The sequence below is a fragment of the Homo sapiens genome, chromosome 5 (assembly GCF_000001405.40).
Source record: "Homo sapiens chromosome 5, GRCh38.p14 Primary Assembly".
Classification (NCBI taxonomy): Eukaryota; Metazoa; Chordata; class Mammalia; order Primates; family Hominidae; genus Homo; species Homo sapiens.
This window is the reverse complement of record NC_000005.10, coordinates 94,629,646-94,646,824: the sequence shown is the minus strand read 5'-3', so window position 1 is coordinate 94,646,824 and position 17,179 is coordinate 94,629,646. Positions and strand designations below refer to the sequence as shown.

Below are 17,179 nucleotides of genomic sequence, written 5' to 3'. Positions count from 1 at the left end.
ATTAGCTTCTACACACAAAGGGAGAAACTGAGGGACACAAGAAATGACTTTCCTATGGTCACAGTGCTACATTATAAATGTGGACCACAAATTAGTTGATCTGGCTCAAAAAGTCTATGCTGTTTCTGTTATTCCTAATATATTCCCATAAGACTGCTGTAGTTCATTTTTCTTTCTTAAGTAGTCAAGATAAGTTTTCAGTATTCCTAGGTAGCCTCTCATTTTTATGAAACCTTCCTTGGGCCAAACAATTGAGATACGTTAGTCATTTGTTCCTCTGTATTCCTGTACCTTGCACATAGTTTTACAAATGCACGATTCATATGAATTGCAAGTAACAGTGTCCATGCTTTTTCTCCATTGCTAAATACTAAGCATCTCAAAGTGTGATATATGGTCATTCATTTTCATATCCCTAATGCACTGCATAATGCCTGGTACAGCAATGGTCTTCGATAAATATCTATAAACCTGAAATACATAGATTTCCAGTTCTGGTACTCAGAAGCTTTTCAAAAAGTATAAGAGGGTTAAACAAAACTTTTTTAAAAAATACAATGTTACCTTAAAAAAAAGGGGGACAAGGTCTCACTCTGTTGCTCAGGCTGGAGTGCAGTGGCACAATCATAGTGCTAACTGCAGCCTCAACATCCTGGGCTAAAGCAAACCTGCCTCAGCTTAAGAGTAGCTAGAACTATAGGTGTGCCACCACATCCAGCAAATTTTAAAAATTTTTTGTATATATGGAGTCTCGCTACGTTGCTTAGGCTGGTCTCAAACTCCTAGCCTCAAGTGATCCTCCTGCCTCAGCTTCCCAAAGTGCTTGGATTACAGAACCACCACGCCTGGCTTGTTACTATTAACTCAGTCATTTTACATGGCAGCTTTTCTTGGATGACACTTCAAGATCCATCTAATGAGGACTGGAATATGATCTACACTGAAGAAAAGCAAGACACTGAAATACAGTTAACTTTCTAATGTCTCTTCTTCTGTGATCAGAAGTGATCACAATATGCCTTCCTTATTTGGATTGGTTATGAACTCCCAGCTGTTTGATCCAGAACTTATAAAACAATGTATTCTAAAACCAAATATAAGTTGGAGACTTTCTGCTATCTGGTTGATATACTATTGCTGCCCTCCACTATTTCAGCAGCTGGATATGAATGTTGTTAGAATACTGCAAAATAATATTGTAGATAATGCATGGTATATGTTGCACTTTAAGCATTATTTTCCAAGTAAAAAAGAAAATTAATATACCTTTACTAATCTAGTTAAGAACAACTTTCGTTCTCTTCATAGTTAATACTACATTTAAACTATTCCGAGCGGTCTATCAGATAATGTGCTTTTGGCTACAAATAATAGAAAACCAACCCAAACTAACTTAAACAACATGGAAATGAATTACCACACAGAAAAGCAATGTGATCTAATCGTAAAACAGGTTTCAGTGTTGTTTAATCCAGCAACTTAAGTAGCGCCAGGGTCTAGATTCTATGTCTACACTCTGCTAACTACAGGGCTGGTTTCACCCTAAGGCGAGTTCTTTTCATGGTTAACCAGTAGTATTTCAGGTTACATTCTTCTGTGTTCATAACTAGCAGGAGTCAGCCCATCAGTGGCTTTCTTCTCATTATGAGAAAGCAACTTCCTAGAAGCTCTTACATACTTCTCTTCATGACCCATTGATCAGAATTGGTTCAAATGCTCATTCCTAACTAGTGACTGTCAAGGACAATGAGATTATCCATAGTCCAAGCAGACCTATTCCTTGAACTAAAGTCAAATTTCCAATATCCATTGCTGCTACTCATTAGGGAAAGGTAACTATATAATGATATATTACATGTAATTTTGGAAGACTCAAACATCTTTCACAAATTCTCTATTAACAAATATTGATTGAGAACCCATGTGCCAGGCTCTTTGTGAGGTGATCAGAATAAAACAAAGGAAAAGACAGACACGATGCCTGATGACAAGGAGCTTTTGGTCTACATGGGGAAATAGACATTAACCAAATAATCAATTACTTAACTGTAAATGTAAGGAGTACCAAGCTAAATAATGCTATGAGAACACATAGGTGAACCTCACTGAGTAAGGGGATCAAGGAGGCTTCCCTGTAGAGTAACATTGTAACAGGAACCTGAAAGATGAGCAGAAGGCAGGAAGACCCACAGAGTGAAGGAGTAGTGGAGAATAACTTTTCAGAAGGAGAAAGTATCTTTTGAGAAGACACTGAGTTAGGAGTAGCTTAGCTTATTTAAGACACTGGGAGAAGGAGTTTTCATATAGCATAGTGAGCATAGATAAGAGTGAAGCAGGATACAATTGAAAAGACAGAAATGACAGGAATCCTGTGGGAACTTGTAAGCCGTATTAGAGATTTAGGACTTTGTCCTAAGAGCAATGGGAAGCCACTGAAGAGTTTTACGTAGGTGAGTGACAGGATCAAAGTTGTTTTAGAAAGAGCATTTTGATTGCTCTTTCTGAATGAGCTAGAATATACTAAAGGAAAAAGAAAGAGTAACTAGGAAATTAGAGTAAAAAGGTAGAGTTACAGGAAGATTAATCACAAGCCTATTCCAGGAGTGCTGAGGAAAGATGATAAACTCAGTATGATGTTAGTACAGAAGTGCAGAGGAAAGATGGTAAACTCAGTATGATGTTAGTACAGAAAGAGAGAAGTGGTTTGATTTAAGAAACATTTGAGATAAAATCAGTAAGACTTAGTAGTTGACAGATGTGAGAAGTAAGGGAGAGAAAGATTTTAAGGGTAATTTCCAGATCTCTGACATAAAGTATTAGATAAAACATAATGGTATCTACGAGATGGGAAACAATGAAGATGATTTTTCCTATAACAAGGTCGTTTTTGGACATACTAAGGGTTCTCTTCTCCCCTGAGTGCTCTTAAAATTCTTCTTTGCTTATCTCCTGGACAGTTTCTTCTAGGGTTTGATGCCCATTCAAACAACTTGAGGAGCATCATCCACACCAAGTAAGGAGGAGGATGTAGGGGAATAGGACAGGACAGTATTTCTAAACCCTTAGAAATAGCTCTCTTTTCCAAAGGAAAAATAACCCCCAAATTCTCATACAATACTATATAATACTATATATTCTACTACTTTATTTATACTGACATTAAAATACTTAATGTTAAACTTAACTAGTAAGCTTCTTTCAAATCTACAGGAAGTATTCATGAATATTTAAGTAATTGAGAGCCACTGCCTTTAAAAAGTGTCATTTAAATTACTACCAATGTAGTTTCAAAATTTAGAACACAACTTTAATATATATTTTACTATGTTGGTATTTTATAAAATGAACACATGAAACAAAATAAAATGTTTACTATTTATTTTACTTACCTCTAAAAGAAAATCCCCTAGATACTGAATTGGATAAAATGGAGCCTTAAAGTTATCTTTTTCTTTCTCAGCTTTAATTCTTGCATTACTGGCAATCACATGAGTTATTCCACTTGGTGAACTTTTTGGTAAAATAACATTTGCCTTTCCAGCCTCCAAAACTCTAAATAAAAATGTAAATGGTATAAAAGTATTAGAAAATTTGAGTTTCTTTAGTCAAATTATCTAAATTAATTATTTCTTAGGAGTACGAATGGACTTTTCTAATAGGGACTAATTTCTTTGGGCAATTGAGGATCACAGAGAACACGGCTGCAATTTCTTAAATTATAAATTGTTCAGAGTAGATATTTAAGAAATCATAGTAGTTTTTCTACCTATCCATTTCTTGATAAAGGAAAGGCTTTTAGGGACCAAGAATATTAAAGTATTCCCTAAGGAAAAGTCATGTCAATAAACCAAAAGATAATGAAAGAAGTCTAAGGAAGCGGCTATCCTCAAAGGTAACGTACTCCCAAGAAAGTAATTCTGGACCATAAAATATGGAACCAGTTGCAAACACTCCTAAAAAGTTAGCTTTCAAAAAATTTTAGCCTTGAACTACTTAAAAAAAAATTAGCCTTGATCTATGTTAAGAAATACATTTTACAAAATAAAAAAATAAAATTAGAAAAAAACAAATGAAAAAATACATTTTACATTTAGACTAAGAAGACACACACAAGGGAGACAGACATACAACACAAAAGTTTCATGAAGTTCTGCTTCTGCTTAGGCTTTAGAAAGCCACAAGAGAGGCTACCACCTAACAGTAAGAAAAAGCCAAATAATCTACAAAATCCTAACTTTTATTGACCCCATCAGAAAACCGAGGTAACAAGTCAACCAAGTAAGGTGATTTCTGAAGAGGGATAAGCTCTTTTATGAAGAGACTGGACAACCAAACTATTTCACTTTTGGCAGATCAAAGGAGCAACACAGTTCCCATAAAAACATGTAAAAATTAAGTAAAGTTTACAAAATTTAAGGGGCAAGTATAGCTAGCATCACAGTTTAGAAAGTTGAAAGTCTGTGACATAAGGGAAACCTGTCCTCGCTAGCATGCTCTTTGCCACATGACTCCATTAAATGCTCATGAAAAAGATTGAAGGCAGGTTAGGAGAAATGCAGGGAGCTCTCCTTGACAGCATAAGTGGGCTAGTGGTGACTGGCTGCCATTAACGGATAGATGTAAAACTAGGCCCACTTCTCCAGACCGTTCTCTCATATAAAGCAAAAGCCTTAAGTTATTTGGGTAAGAATAAGACAGTCTTTTGCCTTCAGACCTAGGAAAAGATGCACTGCTTCTCTTGGAGGGGTGGAAATAAAACTTACCTGCCCTTAGGCAAGGGTTAGGAAAATCTGCTGCTGCCCAGCCTGGGAAAAATACCCACTGTTTCCGGATGAGGGATAGAAGCAAAAAACATCTTCCCTGAAGGAGCAGCAGGAATGTCACTTAGGTCCCAGGTCTTGTATCAATACACAAGAGAGATCTAATACTGGGGGAGAGGCCGGAAACCCTCTTGCCCAGGCCACTGCCTACATGTACAAGGCAGAATTTAGCTGCCATGGAAGTGTGATAAACAAATGCTGAGAAAGCCCCAAACCCAGGGACCAATAGTATGGAAAATGCTTAAGGGTGAAGCTTGTCTAGCAAAACTGAGAATATATCTACCCACACCCTCGACCTGAAGCTGAGTAACAACAGAGAAAGGAAGAGCATGAAAAGAGACACCTTCTATGACCTAGTAGTTTAAGGATTGTTGAAAGCTAGGGCAGAGCAAGAATAGTGATGAGAAACGCTCCAGCATTCCAGTCCAGTCCCCATAATAAGCACAAAGAAACTGGAGCCCACTGCTGTAAGCTGAAGTGATGCATTGATGGTGATTACAGAATTAACAATACTCAAATTCAGCTGTCTTGTTGTTTTCTGCTGCTCTAACAGAATACTGAAGACTTGGTAATTTATAAGAAAAATAAGTTTTTATTCTTGGACTTTCAGAACTCCAAGAGCATCTGATGAGAACCTTCCTGCTGCATCATCCCATGAAGATAAGCAGAAGAGCAAGAGAGACCATGTGAGAAAGAGCTTACTTTTATAACCAAGCCAGTCCCATGATAATGGCATTAATCCCTTCTTAAAGGCCCCACCTTCCAATACTTTCACAATGGCAATTAAATTTCAACATGAGTTTTTGTGGGGGGGTGGGGCGGGCGGGAGGGAACAACATTCACCATAGCACTAGCTCAACAACTGACAAGATTAACTCAATCACCCATACTAACCACCTTACAGAAGAGGTAGGCCTAATTTTTGGATATAAATATTCACATCAGCCTCTATCAATATTCTTGTATATGTGATATCCGGCATGCAATAAAAAAAATACACAACATACAAAATAGGCAAGAAGAAAACCAAACCACTGTTAAGAGAAAGGAATCAACAGTATACACTGAAATATGACCCACATGTTGAAATTATCAGAAAACAACTTTAACATAACTGTGACTGATGTGTTAAAGGAACTAATGGAAAAAGTGGACAACATACTTGAAGAAATGAGGAATTCACTGGAGAGTTCAATGGAAATGGTAGAAATAAAAGGCATTATATCAAAGAATTTCTTCGACAAGCTCATCTGCAGACTGAACACAACTGAAAAAGGAATCACTGAATTTTAAGATTGGTCAATAGAATTATCCCAACTAAAAATTTTTTTTTAAAAAAAGAACAAAGCATGCAATAGCTATTGAAAATAATCAAATAGTTTAAAAGGCATGCAATGGAGTTCCAGAAGAACAACATGAAGGAAGAAATATTTAAAAAATAATGGCTGGAGAGTATCATATTTAATAAAAACCAAAAAACTCCACATACACAAGCTCAGAGATCCTCAAGCAAAATAAATCAATAATAAAATACACAAACACAAACACTCTACTACACATCATAATCAAACTAGTAAAAACCAATGGCTAGGAGAAAATCTTGAAGAAAACCAGGGAAGACAAAATGATACAAACGGAAAAAAAGAATGACAGCTGAGTTCTCATCAGAACTATGTAAGCCAGAAGAAAGTGGAAGAGAATCTTTAATTACGAATTAAAGTGAAAAAAACTGTCGACCCATAATTCTATATGCAGTAAAAATATCTTCCAAAAATAAACACCTTCTCAAATAAAAAATGAGATAAATCATTACCAGCACACTTACATTATAAGAACTGTTAAAAAGAGTTCTTTAGGCAAAAAAAGGTATGATACCAGAGGAAAATCTGGAGCTACACAAAGAAACTAATGCCAGGAAATGGCAAAAATGAAGTCAAATACTGAAGATACATTTCATTATTTTTAATCATCTTAAAAGTAAATGACTAGCAAAAGTAAAATATTACCAATGTATTTGGAAGTTTATAATACACAGAGGTCAACAATAGAAAAAAGGATAGAAGAACAAATGGAAATACAGTTGACCCGTGAACAACACAGGTCCACAAAAGTTACACACCAAGTGTGTCTGCCTCTCCTGCCTCCCCTTCCACCTCTTTTGCCTCTGCTACCCTTGAGACAGCAAAACCAACCCTTCCTCCTACTCAGCCTACTCAATATGAAGGCAACAAGGATGAAGACGTTTATGATGATCCACTTTCACTTAATGAATAGTAAATATATTTTCTCTTATGATTTTCTTATAACAAAATTTATGTTAACTGTTTACATTATCAGTAAGGCTTCCAGTCAACAGTAGGCTACTAGTAGTTATGTTTTTGGGGAGTCAAGTTATACATGAATTTTCAACTGCACAGGGGGTCAGCACTCCAATCCCACATTGTTCAACTGTCAACTGTATATTGTTTTAAGGTTTCTGCACTACTTGCAAAAAGATACTGTTTGACATTTGACTATGAACAGTTAAAGATGGACACTGTATATATTACAGCAACCATTAAAAAAAGAGATCTAATACAGAGATTAAAGGAAACCATTAAAAACACTGAACTAGTGGAAAAGAAGTCAAGGAAAAAGGGAAAGCAGAATAAAGAAATGATGGGATGGCTGGCTGCAGTGGCTCACGCCTGTAATCCCAGCACTTTGGGAGGCCAAGGTGGCCAAATCACCTGAGGTCAGAAGTTCGAGACCAGCCTGGCCAACATGGTGAAACCCCGTTTCTAATAAAAATAGAAAAATTAGTCGAGCATGGTGATGTGCACCTGTTATCCAGTTATTCGGGAAGCTGAGGCAGGAGCATCATTTGAACTTGGGAGGCAGAGGTTGCAGTGAGCCAAGATGGTGCCACTGCACTCCAGCCTGAGCAACAGAGCCAGACTCCATCTCAAAAAAAAAAAAAAAAAAAAAGGGAAGAAAAGAAAAGAGATGAGAAAAAAATAAACAGCAAGATACTAGATTTAATTCAATTTGTCAACAATTAAATGTAAATGTCCTCAACAATGCAATTAAAGGCAGAAATTGTCAAATTACATTTTTAAGACTCAACTGTAGAATGTCTAAAAGAAACCCATTTTAAGTAAAAGAATACAAAATGATGTACATGCTGATGTTTCTCAAAGGAGTGCTAAAGTGGCTATATTAGTATCAGACAAATCCAATTAATATCAAGCCTGGGATACCGGCGTAAACCACAGAACTTCATAAAAACTGTGAGAGGGCAAAAACAAATGGTCTCACTTTGACCCATCACACCTCTCCCTTACCCAAGTTGGCATAGTGCCACACAGAAAGGATTCTCCAGGGCTCACGGTTACTATTGTGGGCAAAGAGAACTGGAGGCAGGCATTGAGCTTTTATAGAATTCTGAGATACATCTCAGGAAGTCCACTCATGTGTCACCTCAAAGGGAGGACAAGGGGTAATGGCACAGCTAGACAACCTGGGGTCAGATAGAAACAAAGCAAGGAGGCCAGGCGTGGTGGCTCACGCCTGTAATCCCAGCACTTTGGGAGGCCGAGGCGGGCAGATCACGAGGTCAGAGATCGAGACTAGCCTGGCTAACACGGTGAAACTCTGTCCCTACTAAAAACACAAAAAAAATTAGCTGGCGTGGTGGCGGGCACCTGTAGTTCCAGCTACTCGGGAGGCTGAGGCAAGAGAATGGCGTGAACCCGGGAGGTGGAGGTTGCAGTGAGCTGAGATCGCGCCACTGCACTTCAGCCTGGGTGACAGAGTGAGACTCTGTCTCAAAAAAATAAAATAAAAAATAAGAAGAAGAAGAAACAAAGCAAGGAGGTGGAGCTCACAAAAACCAGCGCACAAATCTTGGTGGTAGCGCAACATACCTGCCATCAATGGCACCAAATCAGAGGTATCAGTCAACAGCACAGCACCTGCAAAGCTATTGTGGGATGTTCTACCTGGCGGGAATCTCTAGATGGGCAGCCTCCAGGCCCAGCCTCAAATCCTACCCCATGGCCTCACCCAGGGAGTGAGAGACTCACCACATCACCAATATAAAAAACCAGGGGCTAGTTCTGCCACAACTGGGAATTTCAACAGTACTTTGTGCAGCCTCAACATTCATGCCAAGATTCTTCTTAGGATGGGAAAGGACCGCCACACTGCATTTCGGCAGAGTGGGGGCTAGTTCTGCCATATGCAGAACAGCATTCAGTACAGCCTTAACACACATCCAAAGACTCCATTTAGGGAACGAGATGCTAACCACAGTGTACTTCATTAAAGTACAGAGGCTAGTTCTGCCACACTCAGAACTTTAAACAGTGCTCAGCTTAGCTTCAAAGCCCACCTCAAGGCCCCACCAAGACTGTGAGGCAAACCCCAGTTGTAATTTGTACTAAGCATAGCAGTTAGGCCCATCCATCTTAAGCAGCAATTCTACTTAATCTTGGGGTACAACCTGCAACTTTGTCCAACTGCAGATCTCAAATATTGGTAGTACCTAGCCATGGAATACACCCTGAGCCTGGCCCAACTGGAGACAATTGCAGTGCCTAGCCTGCAGCTCTGCCTGATTGCAGAGCTCAGCCAGTGGTTTTATCTAACAGCAGAGCCCAGCCAGCACAATCCCCTCTCCAAAATCAATGCAAAGGTAGCAGCCCAGCCATACAGAGTAACAGAAAGCAAGCTCTACCTGCTTGGAGTCATTACCAGCCCATACAGAATCACAAGCAGTGATCTCCCAGTGATCACTAAACAGTGAAATTCTGTCCCTGCCAAAGAACACCTGGAAGACGTGGCTGTCTCCACAAATGAGGAGACCAATGCAAAAACTCAAAGATTACAAAGAATCAGGGCACCTCCAAAGAAATTAACAAAGCTCCAACAATGGACCCTAAAGGAATGGAGAGCTATAGATCTACAGAATGATAGACAAAGAATAATCCCTTTAAAGAAGTTCAGGCCAGGCATAGTGGCCCATGCCTGTAATCTCAGCACTTTGGGAGGCCAAGGTAGGTGGATCACTTAAGGTCAGCAGTTTAAAACCAACCTGGCCAACATGGCAAAACTCCATCTTCACTAAAAATACAAAAAAATTAGCCAGGCATGGTGGCAGGTGCCTGTAGTCCCAGCTACTTGGGAGGCTGAGGCAGGGGATTCGCTTGAACCCAGGAGGAGGAGGTTGCAGTGAGCCAAGATTGTGCCACTGCACTCCAGCCTGGGTGACAGGGTGAGGTTCCATCTCAAAAAAAAAAAAAAAAAAAAAAAAATCAGTAAAATACAAGAACATACAGATTAAAAATTAAATAAAATATGGAAAACAATACATGAACAAAACAAGAAGTCTGACAAAGAAAAAGAATAAACAAAAACAAAATAGGAAATTTTGGAGATGAAGAATATAATTGCTAAAGTGAAAAATGCAACAGAAGACTTCAACAGCAGCAGGCTTAATCAAACAGAGGAAAGAATCAGTGAGTTCAAAGACAGTACGTTTGAAATTTTCCAGTCAGCGAAGCAAAAAAACCCAAAGGATGAAGAAAGCCTATGGGAATTATGAGACCTAATAACTGTATAAAATCAGCAGAAGAGAGAGGAAAGGGACCAGAAAGCATATTTATGGAAATAATGGCTGAAAACTTCTGAAATCTGGGAAAAGATGACCACATCCAGGGACAAGAAGCATCGTGGTTTCTAATCAAATTTAACCCAAAGGAGTATACCAAGGTATATAATAATCAAACTATCAAAAATCAAAGACAAATAAAAAATTCTGAAAGCAGCAGGAGATAAGAAACATATCACCTACAAGAGTCTGAACGTAATTACCAGTGGCTTTGAAAGCAGAAACACTTCAAGTCAGGAAAGAGGGCTATGATATACTCAAAGTGATAAAGGAAAAAAACTGCCAATACCTTACTTACCTGGCTAAACTGTTCTTCGGAAATAAGGGAGAAATTAAAAATTTCCCAAACAAAAACTAAAGTAGTTTATCATGATAAGGGCTGCCTGATAGGAATTATGAAAGAAAGTTCTTTAAGCTATATCAAAAGGCCACTAATAACATAAAACATACAAAAGTATAAAACTTAACAATCTAAGTAATGTAGAATCATATTCAGAATACTCTGGACTAAAATGGTGGTGTGTGAAGCAATTTTATCTCTAGTGCAGTGGTTAATAGACAAATCTATCAAAAGAACCATAGCTACAATTGTCAGGGGATACAAATTAGAAAATAATATAAATTTTGACATCAAAACATAAAATGGGGGAGAGTAAATGTGTAGAGTTATTATATATGACCAAAGTTATCAGTTTGACATAGTCTAAGAATAAAATGTTTTATATAACTACATGGTAACCACAAAGGAAAATCTCTACTAGATACACAAAACATAAGTAGAAGGGAATCAATGCAAACCACTACAGAAAACCATCAAACCACAATGGAAGACAGCAACATAGGAAGAAAGAAACACAGTATATACAAATCAACTGGAAAACAAACTACAAAATGGCAGCAGTAAGTTCCTTACCCACCGATAATAACCCTAAACATAAATGGATTAACTTCTCCAAACAAAAGACATAGAGTGGTCAAAAAGATTGAAAAAGCAAAAAAAAAAAAAAAAAAAAAAAAGCCGAGTATGTACTGCCTACGGGAGACCAACTTCACCTCTGAGGACACACAGAGTGAAAATGAAGGGATGGAAAAGGATACTCCATGTAAACGAAAACCAAGAGAGCAGGACTAGCTACACTCCTATGAGACAAAATAGAATTTACATTGAAAAACTGTAAACATTATACCTGAAACTGCAAAACTATTAGAAAAAAACACGGGATAAACTACAGGACATTAGTCTGGGCAATAATTTTTGGATTTGACTCCAAAGCTCAGCCAACAAAAACAAAAACAGGAAAGTGAGGTTACATAAAACTAAAAAGCTTCTGCACAGCAAAGGAAACATTTAAGAGAATGAAGAGGCAACCTGTGGAATAGGAGATAATATTTTCAAGCCATATGTGTAAAAAAGGGTTAATATCCAAATACAAGGAACTCAACTCAATAGCAAGAAAACAACCTGATTAAAAATGGGCAAAGGATCTGAATAGACACTTCTCATAACAAGATAAACAAATGGCCAACAGATAAATTTTTAAATGCTCAATATCACTAATCATTAGGAAAATGAAAATTACATCTCAGTTCTGTCAGAATGCTTATTATCAAAAAGATGATTATTAGTGAAGGTATCGAGAAAAGGGAGCCCTGGTATTCCCTAGTTGTTGGGAATGGAAATTAATAAACCAGTATGTTAAAGAGCTATCTGCACTCCCATATTTACTGCAGCATTATTCACGACAGTCAAGTTATAAAACCAACCTAAAGTGTACATCAATGAATAAAGAAAATATAGTATATACATATACACAAATAGAATAATATGTAGACTTTAGAAAGAGAGAAATTATGTCATTTGCAACAACATGGATGAACTGGAGGACATTATGCTAAGTGAACAATCCCAGCACAGAAAGACAAATACTATTTTTAACTTATATGTGAAAGTCCAAAGAAAATTAGATTTATAGAACCTAAAAGTTGAACGCATAGGTGCAGAGAGCAGAATGGTGGTTACCAAAGGCTGGATGGAGGTGGGGGAATAGGAAATGTTGATCAAAGGACACAATGACAAGTGTTTGAGGTAATAGAAAAAAATAAATAAAAATTACAAAATCAGGGCCATTGAGAAAATACGTATGCAACTGATAACAGGAATTCAGTATAAATAAAGCAAAAGCTGATAGGACTAACAGAAGTAATGACTAATCTGAATTACAGTTAGAAAATTAAATTATTCTATCAGTAATTGGGAATTAAATAATAAACTTGTAAATAATCAATGGGTCAAAGAAGAAACGAAAATTTAAAAATACTCTGAACTTAATAAAAAAGCAAACACGATTAATACAAATTTGTGGGATGTGGATAAAGCAATGCTTGGGGGCAACTAATAGAAAAACAGAAAGGTCTAAAATCAATGATCCAAGTTTTTACCTCAAAAACAAACAGAAAAATAACGAAAGCAAATTAAGCCTAAAGCAAGAAGTATGGAAATAATAAAACCAAGGACAGAAATCAATGAAATGACAAACAATAGAGAAAATTAATAAAACCAAAATGAGAATTTAAATTTCAATTTCCAATTGTTCTTTGCTAGTATATGAGAATGCAATTAAGTTTTATACAGTGATCTGTTGTCTTTTGATCTCGCTAAATTCACTAGCGAGATCTTCTAGTATCTTCGTTAAATTTTTTAGTACACAACCATGTCTTTGGAAATAAAGACAATTATTTTTCTTTCTTTGCAATTTTATGCTTCATTTCTTTTCTGGCTTATTGCAATGGCTAGTACATCCAGTAAATGCTAAACAGAAATTTTAAGAGTCAGCATCCTTGCCTTGTTACCAATCATGGGGGAAAAAATCTTTCACCATTAAATATCACATTAGGTTTAGATATTTACATAGATGTCATTTATCAGGTTTAGGATACAAAAATCATTTTTAAAAATTGCAAATAGAATCAGCAAAATATTAAAAATGAACCAGAAAAAATACACCATGATGAAGTACAGTTTATCTCAAGAATACAAGTTTGGTTTAACATTTAAGAATGAATCAAGTGGCCGGTCGCAGTGGTTCACGCCTGTAATCCCAGCACTTTGGGAGGCCGAGGTGGGCGGATCACCTGAGGTCGGGAGTTTGAGACCAGCCTAACCAACATGGAGAAACCCCATCTCTACTAAAAATATAAAATTAGCCGGGTGTGATGGCATATGCCTGTGGTCCCAGCTACTCGGGAGGCTGAGGCAGAATTGTTTGAACCCAGGAGGCAGAGGTTGCGGTGAGCCAAGATCACGCCACTGCACTCCAGCCGGGGCAACAAGAGCAAAACGCTACCTCAAAAAATTAAAAAAATAAAGGTCGGGCGCGGTGGCTCAAGCCTGTAATTCCACCACTCTAGGAGGCCGAGGCGGGCAGATCACGAGGTCAGGAGATCAAGACCATCCTGACTAACACAGTGAAACCCCACCTGTACTAAAAAATACAGAAAATTAGCCGGGCACCTGTAGTCCCAGCTACTCAGGAGGCTGAGGCAGAAGAATGGCGTGAACCCGGGAGGCGGAGCTTCCAGTGAGCCGAGATTGCACCACTGCACTCCAGCCTGGGCGACAGACCGAGACTCTGTCTCAAAATAAATAAATAAAAGAAACAAACAAGTATAATTCAACATATTAAGAAAATAAAGGAGAAAAGCAAATTATCTCAAAAGATGCAGATAAAAAGTTTAAGAGCAATCTATAATAGCACCCCAAAACACAAAATACCTAGGAATAAATTTAATAAAATATGTGCAAGATTTATATAATGAGAACTATAAGACATTAAAGAACAAGCGGAGAATACATAGTTCACTAATAGGAAGACTCAATATTGTTAAGATTTGACCTATAAAATACAATCCCAATCAAAATACCAGTTTGCATTTTCACAGAAATTGACAGTGATTCTAAAATGTGTACGGAAATACAAAGAATCCAGATTCACTAAAACAACTTTTAAAAAGACTAAGTTAAGAAACCCATAGTACCTAATTTCAAGACTCACTTAAAGACACAGTAACCAAAACAGTGTAGTGTTGGTATAAGGTAGATATAGAGATCACTGGAACCAAACAGGAAGTCCAGAAATAGACCACACATACATGGTCAATTGATTTTCGTTAACAGTGCCAAAATAACTTCAGAGCAACAGGAACTCTCATACACTACTACTGGGAATATAAAATGGTACTACTTTGAAAAACAGTTCATAGCTCTCTGCAGCCTCCAACTCCTGGGCTCTAGGCTATCTTCCCACCTCAGCCTCCCAAGTGGCTAGGACTAGGACATGCATCACCAAGCCTGGCTAATTTAATTTGGAAAAAAAAAAAAAAAAAAGAAAGAAAAAAAAATTTTGTAGAGACAGCATCTCGCCATGTTGCCCAGGCTGATCTAAGACTCTGGGGTCAAGTAATCACCTCCTGCCTTGGCCTCTCAAAGTGCTAGGATTACAGACCTGAGCCACTATGCCTGGCCAGTTTGGCATTTTCTTATAATGTTACACACATAATTGCCATCTCAAACAGTATAAATTCATTCATTCCGAGATATTTCCCAAGAGAACTGAAAACATGTCTGCATGAATACTTGTAACCAAATGTTCATAGCAGCTCAATTTATATTAGCAAAGACAAAAAAATCCCAAATATCTACCAATATGTGAATAAACAGACTGTAACATATCCATGGAGTAGACTACTACTCAGCAACAAAAAGGAATGAACTGCTGGTATACACAAAATGGATGAATCTTAATAATACTGTACTAGAGAAATGAAGCTATATCAAAGCAGTATTTAAGTATGATCCCATTCATAAGGACCTCTTAAAAAGTATACATCTAGTCTATAGTGATAAAAAGGAAATTAGTGGTTGCCTGGTGTTGGTGGTACAGAACTAAATGTTCAAGGACACAAGAGAACATTATAGGATAATGTACATGTAACAGATCTTGATTATAGTGAGGGTAACATGGGTGCATCAATTTGTCCAAACTCATCAAAATATACCCTTAATTTGTGTGCATGTTATTGATTATAAATTACATTTAACTAAGAGACAAAAACACTCCCCACCCTCTTGCCATAAAAAAAAAAGTAACAGCAGTCTTAGAATACAGTTTACCCAATAAAAAAGCTTTTAAAAATATACCAAGGACAAAATGAAATAAAATTATGATGAAAACAGTATGAATAATGAAGACAGCACTACATAAACCCAGAATGATGCTTTTGTGATAATACCAAAAGTCTAAAAGTGCTTCATAACTAGAAACAAAAAACTCCCAATTAGTTTTCCTTTTTTGTTTTGCTTGAGTTGGCCAAAAGGAATAACATGGAAAGTAAAATAGAGATATCCAGAATAATCTAAAACAATATTGTAAAGTAGATTTTGTTCTATTAAAGACACATAAGTCTAAACGAGCATAATGGCTTACCTAGGAGATTGGAGTAAATCACCATGGCTCATTTGGGCTAATAATTGCAAAAAAATACAGAAAGTACTCATGCAAATCAAAATTATTTTCTCATTAATTGCTTTAGCTTTTATGTAATCACATCCTACCTTATAAGAGAATCACTTCGCTTATCAGTTCTAACAAGGAGGACAACTTTCCATCTGTGGAAGGCTCCTGGAGCACCAGTGCGTTTCAGTTCTTCACGCCATCTTTTAGGTGCAGATTGCATTTGAGGTGAATAACGGGAATCTTTTTCAATTTTATATCCCCATTCATAAGTTGTTTCATCAAGCCATCTGCCACTTTTGGCACTATGAATTATATAGTCCTTGGTTAGTATCCACTTTCCTAGAAAGCAAATGAGCTGTCAGTCACAAAGGAATTTTGGTTCTGATAAATGATAAACAATAAAGATCAAATATAAAAGTCAACCTTTTTCAAGATAAGACTCTTAAGCTATGCTGCTAACATTATCTTTGAACTATGCATTTTGGGGAAATTTTCTGATAGTAAGAGGCTTACAATATCACTGAACATTGTATGTAATCTTTTCCATGACAAATAATTATAATTCTAAATATAATTCCATAGCTATAACTTAGTTATAATTACAGTTTCATTTAAATATAATTCTAAATTACAATTTTATAATTCTAAACATAAATCTAAAGCTTTAAAATCCAAAATAAAATGTGGTATTACTGGAATTATTATTACTATCATTATTCACTATTTTGGGTTAGATTTATATTCTTCCTCCTATGCTAACAGCTTTTCCAATATTGTTCACGGCATTATTACTCTGTAAAACAAATTTACTGAGTTAAAGAATTTTTCAGGTCATTTTATAACAACTCTTTTTTTTTTCTTAAGAGATGAGATCTCGCTACGTTGCCCAGGCTGGTCTTAAACTCCTTGGCACAAGTGATCCTTTTGCCTTGGCCTCCCAAAGTGCTAGGATTACAGGCATGAGCCTCCACACCCGACCAACAGTTTCTTTATCTGGGCATCAATGATCTTTTTGAACATTATGGACAATGTATGTTTTCATTTGTAAAGTTAAAAACGAATGCAAGTGTTTTCCTTGTAAGTTAATCCAAAAAGGATAAATTCACCCAAGTTACATATGCTTCTTTTTTTGCAATCAGTAGACTAATGATATGTCAGATCAATCACAGCAGAGAAAGCTATAAAATACAAAACGA

The 17,179-nt window shown here is 36.9% G+C and overlaps 1 protein-coding gene across 9 annotated transcripts in view, besides 1 other annotated feature; it reads right to left on the bottom strand.

Annotated features, from left to right (window-relative positions):
- The window catches only part of SLF1 (SMC5/6 complex localization factor 1), a 79,391-nt gene that overhangs the window by 50,797 nt on the left and 11,415 nt on the right, over nt 1-17,179 (bottom strand). For all 9 annotated transcript variants that reach the window (XM_017009979.3, XM_047417830.1, XM_047417831.1 and 6 more), the window contains exons 4-5: nt 16,082-16,322; nt 3,390-3,552 (exon numbers count right to left, since the gene is read on the bottom strand). In XM_017009979.3, the coding sequence (XP_016865468.1) occupies nt 3,390-3,552; nt 16,082-16,322 (404 nt within the window). The remainder of the gene's footprint in view (nt 1-3,389; nt 3,553-16,081; nt 16,323-17,179) is intronic.
- Nucleotides 13,374-13,873: an enhancer, noted in NCBI's record as "H3K4me1 hESC enhancer chr5:93968657-93969156 (GRCh37/hg19 assembly coordinates)". NCBI's record gives its function as "activates a minimal SCP1, AML or CMV promoter by ChIP-STARR-seq in primed H9 embryonic stem cells {active_cell/tissue: H9 hESC(primed)}" and the evidence as "EXISTENCE:reporter gene assay evidence [ECO:0000049][PMID:30033119]".